General features: G+C 43.0%; 1 protein-coding gene across 6 annotated transcripts in view, besides 1 other annotated feature; it reads right to left on the bottom strand.

Annotated features, from left to right (window-relative positions):
• Positions 1-21,040, bottom strand: part of CDH13 (cadherin 13) — a 1,173,672-nt gene that overhangs the window by 234,946 nt on the left and 917,686 nt on the right. Inside the window, exon 9 of one of the 6 annotated variants that reach the window (XM_017022848.3) lies at positions 19,994-20,327. The exons of the other annotated variants lie outside the window; for them this stretch is intronic. Within the exon in view, the coding sequence (XP_016878337.1) occupies positions 20,313-20,327 (15 nt within the window). The 3' untranslated portion in view covers positions 19,994-20,312. Of the gene's footprint in view, positions 1-19,993; positions 20,328-21,040 lie in introns of those variants that run through there. 6 annotated transcript variants of the gene reach the window in all.
• Positions 18,653-19,213: an enhancer, noted in NCBI's record as "NANOG hESC enhancer chr16:83580087-83580647 (GRCh37/hg19 assembly coordinates)". NCBI's record gives its function as "activates a minimal SCP1, AML or CMV promoter by ChIP-STARR-seq in naive H9 embryonic stem cells {active_cell/tissue: H9 hESC(naive)}" and the evidence as "EXISTENCE:reporter gene assay evidence [ECO:0000049][PMID:30033119]".

The following is a 21,040-nucleotide window of genomic DNA, read 5'->3' as shown; positions in this document are numbered from 1 at the left end:
AAAAGCAAGGAAGAGAAAGGAGAATGCCCAGAGGTCCCCATGCAGCAGGAAAAAACGTGAAGAAGGAGATGAAAATCCATCACCTTCACCCACCACATAAAGATCGCATTGCTCAGATGTTCCACTGCCTTGTCCTTCCTCTCAGGGAGTTCCCAGAATTCATCCAAGCAGAGAACAGGAGATGAATTAAATGTCACCAAATGTCCTCAAGGAGTGGAATCATTTGTGACAAAGAAGTACTCTTGGGGAAAGAAGAGACTCGGTAATCAGTCCTTCCGAAAAACTCTGCAACTAAGAAAAAAAAAAAAAAAGAACAGTGGAAGAGGAACGGAAATCCCAAGGGCATGTGAGGTCAGGGTTGTCAGGGCTGGGGAGAGTGGTCTGTGCCTATAGCGCAGATGAGGGCTTCGAGAACTCTTTCGGATGGCATCCAGTAGGAGTCTGGGGTCAGGGTACTATGAGGGCAATTATAGCCAGAAACCGAGAAGTAAGCCTTGGGCGAGATCTGAATTGCTTTTCTAGAGGACAAGAGTCTGAAAAGGATCACTGGGCCTGAAGAGTATTGGAGAACTACAAACATGAAAGAGGACCCACAGACCTGGCAGGTGTAGGGCAGGGAAGTGATGCAGGGAGAGACTCAAAAGCGCTGAGGAGCAAGAGATAAAATGAGAAGTTGCCTCTGCCATGGGGGTCCTGTTTGGTATTTCATTTGTATGAATGACACTGCTTCTAACTGAAAACAACAAACAAACAAACAAAACAACAACAACAACAACAAAACCAACAACAACAGTTTACAGCATTTACTGCAGGACTCAGACAATTGTGCTGTGGCAGACATGGGGTCTCTGGAGCCAGGGCAGAGGAGGGCTGCCTTTCTCCAACCTCCATACTCTTCTCTCTGGCCTCTGCACAGACTATCCCTGATCCCTGAATGTATCAGTCATTATTCTTACCTTTTTGTCACTTGGTTTAAGATTCATCCCTGCTGGGTGCAATGGCTCATGCCTATAATCTCAGCACTTTGGGAGGCCGAGGGAGGTGGATCACCTGAGGTCAGGAGTTTGAGACCAGCCTGGCCAACATGGTGAAACCCCATCTCTACTAAAAATAGAAAAATTAGCTGGGTGTGGTGGCAGATGCCTGTAATACCAGCTACTCAGCAGACTGAGGCAGGAGAATCACTTGAACCCGGGAGGCAGAGGTTGCAGTGAGCTGAGATTGTGCCATTGCACTCCAGCCTGGGTGACAGAGTGAGACTCCATCTCAAAACAAAAACAAAAAAAAAAAAAAAAAGAGTCATCCCATATGTCACCTTTTTCAAGAAGCAGCCCCTCCCCTCCTTACTGCCCCTTGTCTGGGTTTATGTTAATGCCTTATTGTCACCTCACTTACCCAATTGTTCCCTGATTACTTGCTTGCCTGCCATTTTTTCTTGCTAGATTTTGAGCTACTTGAAAATACAGACTCGGTCCAATTTTCATCTCTGGGGATTCACCTGGTACCTGGTACACAGAAGGCACCTGATAAATACCAACAGTACTACTGATACTAGTAGTGCCTCTCAGATGTTGAACACTTACTTGCAAAACACCAGGCAAGGTGCTAATCATTTCACGTATTTGACCTCATTTAGTCTCATAATTGCTCTGTGAGGAAGGTACTACATCCCCATTTTGCAGATGAAGAAACTAATGGTTAAGGTTGTTTATCCCAGTCATACAGGCAGGCTGTGAAGACACAAGAGACTGAGATTCAGATCTGGATCTCTCAGATTCCAGGATGTGCACTCACAGTAACTTCACGGAATAAACAAAACGACCCATCCCACTTCAGTTTCTGGATAGTAGTGGTGCCAAGTTACCGAGAGAGATGGTAGGTCAGCTCTGCCAGGGAGCAGAGGAAAGGCAGAAAATAGGGCAGGAGGCTTTGGTTTGGGGAGAGTTATATGCTGCTTGACACTACTGAGTCTGTTTTTCAAGAAGTCTTGTCCAGTATGTGTTCTTACACAAACACACACATACACACACGCCCTCCTAAAACTGGTCGTTTCTAGAGGAAACTTGCACTTCAGTCAAAAGGATTCGTAAGGCTATATGTAAAATTTCCACCAAATCAAGCACATTGATTACAGTAAGGACAGGATAACTGTCACCACTCCCAAAAGACTTCAGATTAACCAATTTAGTCAACATTAAATTCTGAACATCTCAAACCAAATTAATGCATTTGCTCAAAGTCATTCTTTGTCTTTGTACATTGCCTTAAATTTAACCTTTTTTCAGGATGTAAAATTACAGCTTCAAAAACATTTTTATCATGTTGTGTTTGAAGTGAATAAATGCAGTTGTCCATCTCAGGAGTCCATCCTGGTTCCATGACTGCTTAAAATCTCCAAAAAGAATAGCCATTCACTCCGAGTTAATAATCTTGCACAAAGTCATAATTTAGTAATGCTTCCCCATGTTATTAGGCTCTGTTGGAGACTCCTAAGAAGAGGAAGCAGCTGGTAGATGCCATTTTTTGCCTCTCTTTGCAAGTCCATGGGCTATTCCTGGAATGTCGCAACAGGGAGAAGTTTGTTCATTAATTCACGCATCATTCATATACTTACTCTGTACTTCTGATCATGAAAGGAATCTTGTAGACCAGCTAATCCAATGGTCCTTCTACTACAGATGAGGAGACACACCCAGAGAGAAAAGGGGACTTATCCAAAGGGGACTTGTCCCTCTACCAGCCTGCCAAAAGCTCAGGACAAAATCCAGGTCCTCGTCCCTCTTGGCTACCCACAGTTTAACCAAATCTACAGTACTCAGGGTCCTTTATAGTAACAGTAGAATAGCACTTCTAGTTATTTTTCAGATGCATGTTTACCAAGTTTGTTATTAGTTTTATAGGAACACAGACATGATTTATTTCTTGATATTCTCCTCCCTTCAAGACGACTTTTGTTCTAAGTATCTTCTACCCAAAATAGACAGGCAGAAACCCTCCATGTGGGTAACAGACATCAAAAACGTTCTTCACCAAACCTATGTGGCATGAAGGTTGAAGGTTCATGAAGAACAAAGACAATCTATTCACTTAAGATATGTTTTATCTCAAATCTTACATCTGTAGGACTATTTATTTTCATGGGTCTCTTCTTACTCATGCAGATTTATGTGTGATTACCAATCTTTCATGAAATAGGCAAATAGAAATTAAACATCTAAAAATACATAGAATCCAAATGTAACCCAGTGTTGTTCCTGAATCCGATTGAGACAATTGCCTCTTGTTCACTGTGGGTTACATAAGAAAAGAAGTTGGTGCTGTTTGCTAATTTTTTGCTATATACTTTGCAATTTTTTTTTCTATTCTGGTAGTAGAGCTGAACTCTGCTGACACAGGAAGATGAAAAGTTCTTATTATCTGACAAGGATCCTGATGCACTAACACAATCAAGAATTTGATTGCCCTATCCAGGTCAGAAGATTCCTGTTCTGAACTATCCCTTTGGCACCCAGAGTTCCACTATGTCAGAGCCTCCAAATAAAACAAGATGAGACCCTTACAAGGCTGGAGCCCCATGCAGACTTTTGCACTAGTCTGAGATCTAAACTGTGGAAGACACTTGGACATCACCATGAGCTCTCCAAGGTCCTGACCACATTCTCTGGACATGGGTTTCTCAGAATTCTGCTCTCTAGGATCTTGACTCTGCGGCACTATCGCTCCACTGGATTCCAATTTGTGACTCTAACCATTTTTATCATTCACCTCCCATCCTTTGGACATCTGAATCCCCATTTGATTTTGGTGCTCTGTCTTCAGTTTAGTCAGATTCAGAGCAGTGGTCTCTTTTAAGGAACTACAAAACAGTGATGCCACTCAGCTGTGGAACAATGTTGTAGTTGATGATACCACTACAGCAATCAGCAGGCACAATTTATTCCGCATATACCATGAACAATAAGAAATTCAGGTACATTATCTCTCAAAATTCATCATCACCTTCTATATTAGGTAGTATAATTTTGGAAATAAGAAAATGAAGGAAATTCTGCTTAAGATCATTGTAGAAAATACATGAATTTAACCTGTAAAGTGCTTAGACCAGTGCTGATAGCCTAGTAAATACTCAATAAATGTTAGCTGGTAATAGTCTTTCTTCTTATATTGTGCTACTATTGACTTAAATGTAGACCCCTTGCAGAAGAGGAGGAAAATATACTTTGATAGCATAGCCTCCCTTGCTTGAAGTTTTTTTTTTTTTTTTTTTTGAGATGGTGTTTCCCTCTTGTTGCTCAGGCTGAAGTGCAATGGCACAATCTCAGCTCACCACAACCTCCGCCTCTCAGGTTCAAATAATTCTCCTGCCTCAGCCTCCCATGCGTCACCACACCTGGCTAATTTTTTTTTTTTAGTAGAGATGGGATTTCTCCATGTTGGTCAGGCTGGTCTCAAACTCCCAACCTCAGGTGAACTGCCCACCTCAGCCTCCCAAAGTGCTGGGATTATATGTGTGAGCCACTGCGCCCGGCCTGAAGTCTCTTTTGAAGGAATGAGAGAAGAACCTGAATGAGTATTTTTCAAGGGAAGAAAAGAACAACATCCAAACAAAAATGGTTTATTGGTTTGGGAGTCACAGAAGGTCTGAGAGGAGAATTAAATAATTAAGAAAAACCTCCAGAAAATGTAGCATGAACTTACAGGTGATCATACTTCTTACTTGTTCTAATTTGCTAGACATACCCTTTCCCTTCCAGGTTAATCTGCCCAACCCTCAGCCCCTGGGGCGGGGGGGGGGCCAACCTTATGGTACACTTGTCCTTGCCACAGCACCATGGCTTACTGGGCCAGAGGTGGGCATACCCCAAAGGGGAACCAACTCATATGATTAAGGTTGCGTCAATCATTGTGATCTCTTGGGAATTTGGAATAGAAACTTGGAGAGACTTAGTAACTAGGTAGCAAGGCAAAAAGATGTCAATACAGAGAAAGAAGCTAAGTAACATCAACGGCAGAGCACACAGCAGGGAGGCCCAGGGACCAATGACCATTTTTGTTTTCTCATCAACATTACAGAGAAACAATGTTAAGTGAAACTCTAAATAGTAGGTCTTTAGGAGTTGCTCATCTTGTATAAATGAAACTTTGTACTGTTGTCTAATACCACACCAATCCCCTCCCCCAAGCCCCTGCAACCATTTTCCCATGCAGCTTCCATGAGTTTGACCATTTTAGATTCACTGCATATGTGGTAACGTGCAATATTTGTCCTTTTGAGTCTGCCTTATTTCACTTAGCATAACATCCTCCAGGTTCATCCATGATGTTGCAAATGGCAGGATTTTCTCCTTTTTAAAGGCTGAGTAGTGTTCCATTGCATTATCTATCAAATGCAACTTTTATCTTTGTAGCATTAGGTTTCAGAGCTGGAAACTATGGATAAAAGTAAGAGAGAAGAATTTTGCCCAGTCAGAACTATGAATATGTCTACTATATTCCAAACTCTGTGAGAGGGAGACCTCTCCTATCTCGTTCTTGCCTTTGCTCTGCTCTTGTCCAGGGACTAACACAGAGTAGCTACTCAATACGTATTCATCACATAAAGAATTAAGGAGACACTGGGTTCTATTAGAAGGAGCTGGGGTGTTGCAGGAAGTTGAAGCGATGAGGGTTTCATGAGTTCCAAATCTGCTACTGTCAGTATGGGATGTATCAGGCAATGAGGCCTCCATCGTGTGAATAACCAACATGTATATTGGCCAACTGTTTGATCTGATTTAATCTTTTATTTTTATTTTAAAAATAAAAGAATTAGGAAACTAATTCTTTCTTAATCAGAGAATTTGGGCAGGCACGAAAGCACCAAGTTTCAAAAAGACGCTGTGGTGCCTTCGGCTTCTTGGCTTCCAATCCCTGTTCTTTGTGACAGTAAGAAAGTTGCTTGGCCACTCTGTGCTTGTTATCTGGAAAGTGGTTAGAATTAAGGTGAAAAATGGGTAGAATTAAGGTGCCTACCTCAGGGTTTTCAATTTTTCCTTCCCTCGCTCCCTCCCTCCCTCTCTCTCTTTTTCTTTCTCTTTCTTTCCTTCCTTCCTTCCTTCTTTTCTCTCTCTCTCTCTCTTTCTTTTTATACAGTTTCGCTCTTGTTGCCCAAGCTGGAGTGCAATGACATGATCTTGGCTCACCACAACCTCTGTCTCCCAGGTTCAAGTGATTCTCCCACCTCAGCCTCCAGAGTAGCTGGGATTATAGGTACACGCCACCATGCCCAGCTAATTTCATATTTTTAGTAGAGACAGGGTTTCTCCATGTTGCTCAGGCTGCTCTTGAACTCACAACCTCAGGTGATCCACCTGCCTCGGCCTCCCAAAGTGTTGGGATTACAGGTGTGAACCACCATGTCTGGCCTTCAGTTTTTCAAATAAAAATTAAAGACCATACTACATGTGAAGTGATCAACACATTGCCTGGCTCATCAAAACAACTCACAACATTATTATTCACTATCCTCACCCACAGAACTGCTTCCTTAACTTTTCAGAATACAGTCTTTGCATTTCTCTGTCTTCACTCTGCCCTCCTAGTTCCTGGCAGTGGATCTTAACATGATAGCAGTGTTTAAAAGAAAGGAGTTCACCTTCCCTTTAGCTCCCACCAGGAACTCCTGGAGAGGGCTCCAGCATGACTAATTTATGAGATGCTGACCCCATTGAGGGAGGTGAGCCTGTGGTCCTCCATGGTGTTGGACACTGACCTCTCTGTCTGCCCTTGTGCCACAGATACAGAGGACCCGATGTGACTGTGGACACCCAGCTTCGGATACCCGCACACTACGCATGACCACAGATCCAGTTTTCCTACCTACCCACGTGGGTAAATTATTTAAAGATGTACCCTTTCCCTGAAGTTATTTCTCTGTTGCTCTCATTAATTCATAACAAGGGCCCACATAACTTACTGTAAGTAGTAGGTATTCCAACAAAGTTGAAATGATGTCAACTAAATTAATTGGAACACTAACACTCAAATACAGGCAATTTAGCTTTTGAAAAAAAAGGGAAAAAAAGTTCCACTTGCATTCATAAATGTTACATGTAGATGCAGATGCATCTCTGACTAGATGTAGATTTTAAATATAAATTATTTAAGGTGCCCAAGACCTGTGGTCCACGTTGCTTATTCTAAGGCAGTGACACATACATTATACATACATTATTCATGCATAAGGCACCAGTGATACTACCCAAGGCACAACCAGTCAGGTAAGAAGTTGTTGCACATAACAGACAAATCTAGATGCTCTTAAATTCCCCATTTTTTTTGACTTCAAGCTTTGTTTTTGATGGAAGTATCTTTCATAGATGTTTGTGGCTGCTGGAAGACTCTTTAAAAACATCATCCCTCTCTGCTAACTGGTACCGCGCTGATCCAATCTTACCACTACAACCTGCGAACATCCCAATAAACAATGTAGGTTCACTCTTAAATCTTCAGGGCTTGCAGAAAGCAAATGTGATGGTCTCAAACTCTAGCCCCTCTACAACAGGTGACATACTGTGTCCAGCCAGAAGGATTCTTGTCAGTGTAGCAAAACTCTTCTGCCTCAGGAAGAAATGAGCCCTGTAGACTGTGTGAGCATTGCTGGGTGCCCTTTTTATATAAAGCTGTACAATCATTGATTTCCCAGTGCTCAATGCCCCCCAGGTCTCAGCAAACAACCAAGAAAAGCAATCTTCCCTGTGGAAGTGACGGATCTATAGACCCTTCACCCCAGAGACCCTTAGCAGTCTCTCTTTTATATTGTTTTTATCTGGAAGACTCTGTCACTCAAAATGATCGAAGCATGTGCCCTAATTGCCTCTCTACTCACTCTAAGTCACAGGTGGCTGGGGAAGTCTGAAATTGGGTGCTACTGGGGTCAAACTGGTATCACAAATGGGCATTGAGATGAAAGGTACCAACCAAGTAACAGTACTATCTAGGAAGACGGCAAGTCCCCGCTGCTTATCTCCTGCTGAGACACCTCCCAGTACCTCCCAGACTCAACTCCAGGGCATTTCCTATAACAAAGGGCAAGCAGAGTATGTCACCCTGAGTGCCTGATGGCCGACTTTTAGATGCCCCTGTTTCCGTATCTGTACTATTTCCGAAAGGCTTACAGAGAGCTTCGTTTGCTTCAACACAGAATAGTACATATAATGTAACATGTCAGTAACATGTTCTATCATATACATAGAACATCAGTCCCCAACCTTTTCAGCATGAGGGACCAGTTTTGTGGAAGGCAATTTTTCCACGGACCAGAGTGGGGATGGTTTTGGGATGAGTCAAGCCCATTACATTTATTGTGCACTTTATTTCTATTATTATTACATTCTAATGTATAATGAAATAATTATACAACTCGCCATAATGTGGAATCTGTGGGAGTCCTGAGCTTGTTTTCCTTCAACTAGATGGTCTCATCTGGGGGTGATGGGAGACGTGACAGACTATCAGGCATTAGATTCTCATAACTAGCGTACAACCTAGATCCCTCACATGCAGTTGACAATAAGGTTCATACTCCTATGAGACTCTAATGCTGCCACTCATCTGACAGGAGGAGGAGCTCAGGAAGTAATGGGAGCAATGGGGAGTGCCTGTAAACACAGATGAAGCTTCGTTCGCTCACCCACTGCTCACCTCTCCTGCTGTGGGGCCTGGTTCCTACAGGCCTGGGGGTCGGGGACCCCTTATGTAGAAAATCGGTTGAGAGTTGTCATTGCTGTCATGAGAATCTGTAGACAGGATGACAGAGGCACAGGGATGGAGGGACACAGCCCAGGAGGCGCTTCAACGTTTCCTTTGCTGTAAAGTTCCCTGGCATCAGCTGAGACTGTGAACATTTCTTCTTGCCTAAGTGTGGCGTGAAGTGTGGGGTGCCCCATGAAAAGATTACCTCTCTGTTAGGTAAGTTATCGAAGCCAGGCCAATATTGATTCTAAGTGACATTCTTGATGTTGTGGAAATAGTTTCTGTTTCTCTCCAGGTCCCTTGATTTGTGAGAAATACCGAAACTGAGACAAGGAGAAGAATGTGGTGATGAACTTAGGCTATGGATTCAAATCCTGACAGAACCACTTAATGGCTTTGTGATTGGGGATGAGTTATTTGACCCCTCCGAGGTTCAATTTCCTCATCTTTGAACTGGGAACAACAACAACTTTGGCTTTACTTGGCTGATTGACCACCGCATGTGAGAATGTGTGTTTCCTGCTTTGCATCCTGCTTGGTGCATAACTGCTGCAATTTGTTCATGATGATGCTGAGGACTGTGGTGGATTTAGACAAGGCATTTAACCAGTATTTGCCTCCTCCTCCTGCTTCCTCATACTATCTTTGCAGAATCTCCCTTACCATTTAAAAACATGAGCAAGGATTTTTAGGGCTGGCTTACTTAAGAGACTATGAAGTCCTTATCAAAATAACAATAATTAAAAATGATAGTTTATCTGATTTGATGCTAGACCCAAATTGTCTCTAAGCCTCTCCTAACGTTTGAGTTAGAACGCTGCTGCAGGCAGACACAACATGAAAGACTAACTTTTATACTGTGCCTACACGATTTATCTCATTAAGTCTTTTTGTAAAGTCATTTAAAATTAATACTGGTGCATAGTTTGAGTCACTGGGAAAGGGAGTGAAACAGTTAAAACCCTCTGGGTACCAGTGTTACTTCCCCCAGGCCATAGCTTTGTCTATCTCTAATGAGCCCATTATTCCAAAACTATTTCCCATTGAAAAAGCATAAGAAGCTGATAGAAACAGAACGGAATACTCTTGCATGGATATGTCATGTACAGTCCTTGCAACTGTCTAAGATGTTTACAATCCTCAATTGCAAAATATTTTACTTTCTGGAATTGGGAGCAGACAGACTATCCAACATTAGCCAAACTGCTATATTCTGCTTAAAATCTGATTTAATGACACCTCTTCTGATGAACTTTAGAAACTATCCCCCAAACAGATTGCGTTTCTCAAAAAGTCAGAATGGTTCCACTTAGCCTTGGGCTTATCAATTGGTTTTCTCCACTTATGCTAAGTATCACACATCATGTTTTAACTTTACATCTGGAAATCCCTCTTCTAAAATCACATGCAATTCAGTCAACTAAGTGCTCACATAAATCTTTCGGCTTTTCCAGTGAACACTGGAAATCCAAGCACCAGCAAAGTCTGAAATTCATATAAAAAGATGTCTTTTAAGACAGCACTTCTCAAATTTTAATGTGTATATGAATCACCTGGGGAATCAGTTAAACTGCAAACTATGATTCCACAGGCCTGGGGCAGGCAGGGTCTTGGTTTCTGAAAGTCTAAAAATCTTCCAGGTGTTTTCAATGCTGCTGGTCCATGGACTGTACTTTGAGCAGCAAGGTTCTAAGATACCCCTATGCCTGTTTCTGTGCTTGAGTTTACCACTGTACAAACCATGGTCTCCATAAACATTGTATATCAACTTGTCACTCTGCAACATGGAAAAATCTCCCCTCTTTCAAGCTGCTGAACTGTCTGGTTGATGAAGTACCAAAGTAGCTCGCTCTCTCTGTATACAACATGGTCAGTGAGGGGCTGCAAGCTGGTAGATGTTGACTTGCTTTTTCACTCAATGGCTCCTACCCTCCACCTCTGGCCCCGCAGGGTTCTGTCTGTGTGGCACAGGGGTGGCCTCAGGAAGCATCAACCTAAATAACAAAGAGGGAGAGGTTCTCTAAAAAAAAAAAAAAAAAAAAGATTCAGCAGTAGGGCATTGCAATGGGAATACATGTGCTGCAGTAACTTTGTATGTGTGTGCAGGGAGGTAAAGAAAGACAAATGTTTTTGAAGGAAAAAATGAGGAAGATTACATAATGGCTTTGAAGTAGTTATTGCTGGCTACAAAGATCAATAATAAGGGTGACATCAGTCTGTACTTGGACAGGCAGTTGCTGGGCAGATGTCCTTGCAGAAGTATTTGTGTGTGTGCGTGTGTGTGTGTAAGGTTGTGATGGCCTTTGTGCAAGGTTGTGGTTTTTGCAGTCTTTTGTGACAGTTTTTGTTATCAGGCAACCAAGTGTGAGACTCCCCTCTTCATAACCCTCCTCAGCTCATTTTTCAGGGTTTTAAATTGATTATTAATTAAAAAAAATTTTAACATAAGTGGCTTCATTTTGATTCTGACAGCTTTTGCAGAAGTTCGTGTTCCCTTCCTTCACAGCCATGCTGCTATTTTTCTTCTCTACTTTCCATTGCCTACTTATCGTTGCCTCCATCACCATTATATGCTCCTTTCTATGCCTCCTTTGAAATGTTTTGTTTTCCTATCTCTTCTTCGATCTCATTTCTGTTTGGCTTTCTGTTGCCTGCCAGTGCATATTCCTGTCTCCAGGGATCCTGTGATTTTCAGGCTGGAGTTCAAATTTTGGCTCTCCTCCATTGCCTATTTTTTTTTTAAGTAAGTGTTCACTGCTTCTTTTCTTTTCTGTCCAAGAGGATTTTACCTTCTATTTCTATACCCTGGTTTAGAAAGATCTAGAAAGAAAGATTCACAGACAGAAATGGCACTGCTACATTGAGGTCTAATCTATAACCTCCTAAAATGATCATACCTTTTGACCTAGTAATTCCATTCCTAGGCATTATTAAGAAAACAGACAGAGACACAGGCAATTATATCTGTACAAGAATGTTCACTGCAGAATCGTTTATAAATACCTATAAAAGACACAAAATTATCTACAATAAATTGGTGGTTAAGTAAACAACAGTATGTAAAAATGGTGAATATTATGTTGGCATTTAAAAACCATGACTTTGGGCTGGGTGTGGTGGCTCACGCCTGTAATCCCAGCACTTTGGGAGGCCAAGGCAGGTGGATCACCTGAGGTCAGGAGTTCAAGACCAGCCTAGCCAACATTATGAAACCCCATCTCTACTAAAAATACAAAAATTAGCCAAGTGTGGTGGTGGGTGCCTGTAATCCCAACTACTTGGGAGGCTGATGCAGGAAAATGGCTTGAACCCAAGAGGCAGAGGTTGCAGTGAGCCAAGACCGTGCCTCAGCACTCCAGCCTGGGCGACAGAGCGATACTCCATCTGAGAAAAAAATACAACAACAACAAAAAAAACCCATCACTTTGATTCCTACAGGGCAGATAAAAATGCTCATGAAAGTTACATGGAAGAATGTAACTAAACAATGTTGTATATATTAAAATTCCAGTGTTATAAGAAAAACATATGCATAGAAAAGAGCTAGCAAGAAACACCCACTAGTTACTAAGAGTTTTCTCTGGTTGATGGGATTACAGATGTGAATTTTATAACTTTTGTATTTCCTGTGTTGCCTACAATGAAACTAGATTCCTTTATTTGAATCAGGAAAAAATCCTTCATATAAAAACAGTTTATTTATTTCAATTTAGATATTACATCCCAATCATGGATAATTTTAACTCTTGGAATGTTAGGACTGCTCCGAACTTACATTAGAGTTTCCACCGAATACCGTAAAATGCTACATTGAACAGCTGTAATAAATGCTTCCTAAGCAAAAATGTTTACAATAACCACAGTCACTTTTTTTTTTTTTTTTGAGATGGAGTCTCACTCTGTCGCCCAGGCTACGGTGCAGTGACGCGATCTCAGCTCACTGCAACCTCTGCCTCCTGGGTTCAAGTGATTCTCCTGCCTCAGCCTCCCGAATAACTGGAATTACAGGTGCGTGCCACCACTCCCGGCTAATTTTTGTCATTTTAGTAGAGACAGGGTTTCACCATATTGGTCAGGCTGGTCTCGAACTCCTGACCTTGTGATCTGCCGACCTTGGCCTCCCAAAGAGCTGGATTACAGGTGTGAGCCACTGCGCCCAGCCAATAACCACGTCTTTGAAAGACTGAACACAGGCATGATATGTTCTAATCTTTCCCCTGAAATGCAGTAATCTCTTTTGCCAGGTTTCAACATTCTTTCTTTAGTGACAAATTCATTTAAGATGCAATTCTTCAACTGGCTAGCAAACTAGCTTGACTATTTTGGGCATAATTACAGATAATTAGGCAGCTTCTTAGAGTAATGTGACTTTCTATTCACTGCAAAAAAAGTAATTTGCACTTTCAGTGTGAATCTCTTCTGTCTCTATATTCTGCGGTATCAACATTTTGCATTTCCCCTATTAGTTAATGCCTGACTAGGAGACGGAGGGCCATGCCAGGGTGATGTCTGGAGAAAGGATTTAGCATGTGAGCACGAGCAATTGGTGCATCCTCCACTGGAACTGACAGTTACAGGAGTTACCAGATTGGCATTTCCTTTCCCATATGTCTTAGTCATTTCCTGGTAAGATAATGGCTTTAGACATAAGCAGCTGGGTTCTGGCCTCCCATTCTGACCTCCCTCAAACTATGCTCTTCTCCATGGCACAAAGAATCCCCAGGACCAAGAGAATACGCCCAACTAGGTCCACAGGCTCCTTTCTAGATCACACCCTGATGCTCATGTACCTGGAACTCCAGAATTCACTGTCTGAGGACAAAGGGCACTCAGCCTTCCCTGGACAGGGCCATATCATTTATCCCAAGGTGGGAGGTGGTGGAGTTGCTATTTTCTTAGTATTCCCCTGGAATGAATCAGTTTATGAATCCATTCAATTACTTATTCCATTCATTTTGTCATGCATCTAACCCATTACTTATTAACCCGCTAACCAACCCATCCATCCACCTATCCACTTATCTACCCATCCATCCATCCATCCATTCATCCATCCATTTTTTCTTTCAACTAACATTAAGTAATTATGTGCCAGGAACCATATTAGTTGCTGGAAGGAACAGTGAAAAAGATGTTATGGCCCCTGACTTGACACCTTCATAGGCCAGCAGGTGAGATGGGTAGACAAATTGACAATTCAAGTACAAAGTGATGAAAAATGGAAGAAAGGAAAGGGAGATGCATTTATTTCTCCAAGGGAGGACAAGAATCAGAAAAAGGTCCCCAGATGACACATCTTAAACAAAGACAGTGTTTTGCTAGGAAAAAAAAGAGAAGCTTGGATGTCCAGCCTGAGTGAATACATGAGCAAAGATTAGGAAACAAGAAGATGCAGAATGGGTGTTTGAAACGTAAGACACAGCACACAGTGAAGCACCAATGTGAGCACTGACATGAAGTTAACCCAAGGCTGGGAAGGTACTAGGAGGTGGGTTGTCATGGCCTAAGAGATATCTATGGCCAAATAACACTTGTTGACTTTGACTATGTAAAGCAGGGTTGTAACATGATGAGACTTACATGTTAAAAGAATTAAGCCAGGGGCGGTGACTCATGCCTGTAATCCCAGCACTATGGGAGGCCGAGGCAGGTGGATCACTTGGGGTCACCTGCTCAACATGGTGAAACCTTGTCTCTACTAAAAACACAAAAATTAGCCAGGTGTGGTGGTGTACACCTGTGATCCCAGCTACTTGGGAGGCTGAGACACGAGAATCACTTGAACCCGGGAGGCGGAGTTTGCAGGGAGCTGAGATCATGCCACTGTACACCAGCCTGGATGATGGAGTGAGAAGCTGTCTCAAAGATAGATAGATAGATAGATAGATAGATAGATAGATAGATATAAATGACTTAAGGGGGCCATGGAACAGAGATGGGGGTAGGCTTACTCATCAGAAGACTACTTGGGAGATGCAAATTGGCTTCAGAGAAAGAAGACAAGGGAGAAATGTTAGAGATTTATTCCTGAGATGGAATATGCAGAGCTTGGTGGGGAAGAGAGAGGGAGGAATGCAAGGCAACTTAGATTTCTAACCTGAGAGGTTAGGCTTACTGTCAGTGAAAAAGTAGAATTCTGGAAGTAAAACAGCCTAAGGAAGGCAGCTTCCAACTCATTCACTGCTTCCTCGATTTAACAGATGTTTACTGAATGGCCACTATGTGTCAGCAACAAAGGATAGAACAGTGAACAAAGTAGATGTGATCTCTGGCCTCATGGAACTTTCCATGAGGTTTCACAAGGAAAACTTTGCTAGACATTCATCAGAGGCATTGATATCTTTCCCCCTCCTCATGTGCCCACAGCTGCATCAGCAGGAATCCCCCACCATGCTGGTTTGCATGCATGGGCCAGCTCTTCCATTATGAGCGGAATTTGCCATCGGATTAACTGCTTGGCAGTTGACCTCCTATCAATCAATTGTCTCCATCATTAAGACACTGCCACCAGCAACATTCAATCACCAAATGTCACTGATGGCTCCATGCCACACATTACCTCTGTCACTCCTCACAGGAGGATTAAGACATCATAGCAGATGCTGGAAAGCTTTGCCAGACGTGTTGACAACTTCTGTCAGCGCCCCCTGGTTGAAAAAGGCTTCTTTGGGAGAATGCTTTGAGTTCACCCTGGCTTCAAACTCCTGCTGGCCAGCTGACCAAGAGATTCCACAGGTGTTTTGTTTGTCCCTCTCAAGTACTTGGGGCTTCACCAATGTTTGAGCACCAATGCACACAGCCACGTTGGAGAATACATTTCCCCTGGCAAAGTGCATCCTGCAGTCTAAGGTTGTGAATCTTGAAGAGTCAGAACAAGTCATCACCCCTGCACTAGAAGGCAAGAGCATCCCCAATTTTGAGCAGCTGCTGCTAATTAGTGTTTTTGGCTTGGTCAGCCAAGTTTGGCAAACCCTGTCTCCTTTCTATATGAACGATCCAGATTGTACCAGCAAGACGAGTGGGAAAGACTGGCATGCATACAGTTAAAACCTCCGTCAGAGTCTTCCCCTCTCTGTCTCTCTCTCTCTTTCACCTCCTGCCACCAACAGTTACAAATGCCTTGATTACAGTAATGAGCTTTTGTATTACTCCTGCTTCCACCTCTCCTCGAAGGGATTACAGTGAATGCCCCTTTCTTTAGTTGACAAGTTTTGCTTTGCCTTTCTCTTATTGGAAATTCAATGCGGTAGCGTTTTCATTAACTTGATTTCTCATGCTGAGCAGATTTTTTTTGTTTGTTTTTGCTTTTTTTTTTTTTTGAGCGTAGAGAAAAATGATGCAAGAAATAAAGCTATAGTCCCAGTGCTACGGGAGTGGGGTTAGGGAGTGCTCTATGCTGGAATATGATCATAAGCCAGACTGGGGACCCCAGAAGGGGACCCTCGAGGGCACAAGCAGGTGAAGCATATGGCAGCCTGCAACCGGCAGCAGGCAGCCTGAGGCTCACATCCCTCTACCACGTTCCCCTTGATACAGGCTGCTCAGCTTGCACACAACTTAATTTGTTCAAAACGCTGATGTGGTACTTTCTTCTGAAACTCCTTTCCTTTCTAGCTGATATTTTACTTCCAAATAGGTGCTTTGCACAAAAGAAGAATGAGAGGTGGGGTGAAGCACAGAGAGGTGACCTGGAGAGTGGGATGTTTTCTCGGAACCAACTCACAGGTGCTCCCGTGGGCTCTCCCAGGTGAGACCCAAGGACTCCATCACAGCTTGTCTGCGTCCTTCCCCACAAGGCCCTCCAAGGACCAAGCTCCGTTAACGACATGTGAACCGAGATTCAGCGTGGCTCTCACCAGGTCACCTGGGTCTCTTCCTGCTCCTCTGAGCTTTCAGAGCACTCTTGATCTGTCAGAGCACTGACAAGCACACAGCCACACAGGGAAGAAAATTATGCAGATGAGGGGACTAAATCACACTTCTTCCTCAGTTTTCTTAAGGAGAAAATGACACACAAGGGGGCAAAGAAAATACTCAGATGAAATTCTACTGAAGGCTTTCTTTTACCCTTGTCTATTTTGCAATAGTGATGGCAGGAAAACCATTCTAATGCAAGGATCATAGGTTTCTCCTCTAGGGCAGAAAAAAGAGGGGTGGAATATTGGAAGGCAGGGGGTTGGAAGGTGAGAATCAAGGGTAAGGTGGCTGGAAACTTCATTAACAGAGAAAAAAAAAGGCTGCCTTGTGGGGGATGGTGAAAATTTAGGAAGAAAACAAGCCATCTCCTCACTTGGATGTCTCCAAATGCCTCAGGAACCCATCTTCTGGTCTCCATTGACACCACATACCCCTTGTAAAAGAACTGGCTATCCGGGGTCCCAATATCTCAGAGAATGGCATGACCTTTCACCTTGTTAGCAAGACAAGACCCAAAGATCACCTCTGACACTGCATCTCTGATGTTTCTACATCTGAAGCCAGGTTTCTCAACCACTGCGCTACGGACACTGGGGCCAGATAAAGCTTTGCTGTTGGGGGAGGGGCTGCCCTTTGCATTGTAGGATATTTAGCCACATCCTTAGTTTTTACCTATGAAATGCTAGTAGCATCCCCTTCCCACCAATCTCCCAGCCAGTTGCAACAACCAAAAAATATCTGGATATTTCCAGGTGTTCCTTGGAAGACACAACTGTCCCTGGTTTAGGACCACTGAGCTAAATAAGCCATCACCAAGGCCTGTTGAGTTTGCCTCCTAAATATCACCTCAATCTGTCTACCTCTCCCCACCCTGGCACCCCCACTAGGTTTAAGTGACCATTCTCTCCCACCTGGACACCTGCTCTTGGCTAGCTTCCCATCCCCCCCTTCCTGCTCCAATCTATCTGGCAGCAAGCAGCCCAGGTGATAATTCCAGACTCAGCTCTGCATATATCATCTCCCCACTGAAATCTCTCAAAAGCTTTCCTGTGCTCTGCAGATACCAAGGAAGATTCCTAGCAGAGCTTACAGAACCCAGTCTTGGTCTGCCTGGTCTGCTGTCTTATACCATTTCCCTCCCCCAGCAGCTCCTGATGCCCCAGGATAGCTTCTGCAGGCCACAGCTTCCCACTACAACACCCTCCTCACTCCTTTATCTATTTCAGCCTTGGAGGTCAAGGCTCAACAGTGACTTCATTCTACCACAAAGACCCATGCACGCATATGTTCACTGCAGCACTATTCACTATAGCAAAGACATGGAAGCAAACTAAATGCCCATCAACTGTAGACTGGATAAAGAAAATGTGGTACGTATATACCATGGAATACTATGCAGCCATAAAAAAGAAAGATCATGTCCTTTGCAGGAACATGGATGGAGCTGGAGGCCATTATCCTTAGCAAACTAACCCAGGAACAGAAAACCAAATACTGCATGTACTCGCTTATAAGTGGGAGCTAAATAATGAGAAAGCATGGACACACAAAGGGGAACAACACACACTAGGGCCTACTTGAGGGTAGATGGTGGGAGAAGAAGATCAGAAAAAAACAACTATTGGATACTTAGTACCCAGGTGACAAAATAATCTGTACACCAAACCCCCATGGCATGAGTTTACCTATGTAACAAATTTGCACATGTACCTCTGAAACTAAAATGAAAGCTAAAAAATAGATTAAACAACAACAGCCACTTATCCAGGTTCCTGGGCTTCCCACATCCCCCTGGGTCCAGGCTCACTGCTGTGTACTCTTGAAGCCCTGTTTGCCTTTCCTTCTTAGCTTTTACCATACTCTATAATTCCACACTTATTTGTGCCATCATTCGATTCAAGTTTGCCTCCCCCACTAGATGGTTATCATACTCCACCATTCTCCTGGCAGCTTGCACAGTGCTTGACACATTCACCTTTATGGAAGAAAGTGAACACATGGAGATGACCTGATGGATTAAAATTCAAGCCAACTGTGGTCCTTGAAGTTGAAGCCAGGCTGTTCAGGACCGGAGGTGTCCCTTCCGGTCCGTGTTTTTGTTGTGCCTTCATTCATTCATTTCTGCATTTTGCAAGTCTTTTCAGAGTACCTACTGTGTGCCAGATGCAAAGAGACTGGCACTTGAATCTTTCAGAAAGACAGACATGGCCATGGGGCTGCAGTGCCCTCTGTCTAGTGGCACCAACTGACATCAACTGAGTAACAATAGCCTAATAAGTACTATGGAAGGGCACTGCTGTTATGCAGATGGCTGGTGTTTACTCTGAGGTCAGGGAAAGAGAAGCTAAACACAACCCTCTCTCCACACCACTGGGTCTCCCCAAACTTCGCTACCCAGAATAGGAGGTGAATTTGAGTAAAGATCAGAGACATGGCATAAGACGTTGGTTATACCCAGACCTCATCGATCATGGCGCCAATCCCAAGATGTTATCTGGCACTTAAATTGCATTTCCTAAATGGATTTTTCAAACTTTGTTTCCAGAACGTCTTGAACCCAGAGAAAAAAAAAAGAAGCAATAGCTATTTTCTTCTTTGATTAAAAAAAAAAAAAACCAGTAGTATGGCTAACAAATGCATAACAGGTACAACCGAAAATAAAATTTTAAGTTAAATTAAATGAAGGCACTTGAGCCATCACCTGTGGCTATCTGCTGCTATGCATGAATTCCGGACAAAGTACTGGGGATGCCAAGAGTCTGGGGATGCCAAGAGTGCCACCCTCCAGGAGTTCAGAGCCTCTGAGAAGGGAAGAGCTGGTGAGGTATCTACCAAGACGTCCCACGCTCTACACTTGGAGGATGGATGCTTCCCTCTCATTATGCAGGTTTTAGCCCAAACCTCACCTCACAATGGCTCTTTCTGATTGCCTCATCAAATATCACTCTTCACTCTGCCAATTTCACTCTTCCTCATCACTCCATATTTTCCTCAGAGCACTTATCACTTCTGAACTTCTGGACTTAAGTATTAGCTTATGTTTTACTTCATATTGGTTCCCCAGCTAGAACAATGGCTCTATGCTTTCTTGTTCACCTCCACACCCCAATGCTTAGAACAGCTCCTGGTAGATAGTTGTCATTGAATGAATGAATGAATGAATGAATACGCTCAAAGAAAGGGAGCCATCAATTCTCCATGGGGAAGCTGAGGAAAGCTGCAGACAGGAGGCATTATTTGAATGCGGTCTTGAAGTAGGAGTTGGACTTAGCCTGGCAGATAAAGGGTGGGCAGATGAGGAGGGCTTGCTTGATATAAATATTGACACACAAGAAGATACGGCAGGGAGAGGAACTGTATGGAGAGTCTAAAGGATGGCAGAGGAGGTCTGGTAGATGGCTAATGGATTAAAATTCACCTACAGCCTTTTTCATTAGAAGGACTTTAATTCCATCACTGCAACAAAATAGGCAAGGGTAATGGACTGGAGGCTGGGGCAGGTTGTGAACAGCCATGAAGGCCTTGTCCAGGCAGTGGACTTTCCCCTCTCTGGACAGTGCAGACAATGAGACTTCTTTAAGCATGAGAAAGATGTGGCTGGATCTGTAATCTGCAAATCCTCCTCTGGTGTCCCAATAGAATGAAGCTGGTTACGGTGAAAATTAATGAATCTTCCCCTGGAGAGAGGAACATAATTTGTAAATATCTAATTTAGCACATCCACTATTTTTTTTCCTTCTTCATTAACATCGGCAATCTTTAAAAATCCTTAACTCTTACTGTGAAGTCTTCCTAGTCACTGGGTATGTCAGATGGTGCTTGGAGGGTTTCCACACCTTCCCACCCAAGGGTCATGTGGGATTTAACATCGAACAACTTCTAAGAAGGGCTAAGGAGCTGAAGGACTAATTAAATCCTGGTTGGGTAAAGAACATGAGCTCTAACAATGGGCTTGTGAGTTATTTTTAAGTACTCCCTGAAGGAGATGAACAGAATAAAAGCTTCATCATTAAGTATGTTTCCAGTGAATGGAATCTTCTAGTTAGTTTAAGGAAAGTCTCATTAACTAAGAGAATTACATATCATACCTATACATTTCTCTTTCTTAATACCTGTGAATGTAATGACGGCTAACGGGGAGAAGAACTAACATTTATTGAGCTTATACTGTGGCCAGACATTGTTAGATGTATTTTGTATCTTTTAATCCTAGTAGATACCCTTTGAACTGTTATAAATCCTCATTTTGCAGATGAGGAAACAAAGACGGTGAGGGTTAAATCCCTTGCCCAACACAATGCAGCTAGAGAGAGTCCCTGACTTACGATGATTTCACTCATAATTTTTTGACTTCACAATAGTATGAAAGTGATATGCATTCAATAGAAAC

The sequence above is a fragment of the Homo sapiens genome, chromosome 16, assembly GCF_000001405.40.
Source record: "Homo sapiens chromosome 16, GRCh38.p14 Primary Assembly".
Classification (NCBI taxonomy): domain Eukaryota; kingdom Metazoa; phylum Chordata; class Mammalia; order Primates; family Hominidae; genus Homo; species Homo sapiens.
The sequence above is the reverse complement of the archived record's forward strand: the minus strand, read 5'-3'. Positions and strand labels throughout refer to the sequence as shown.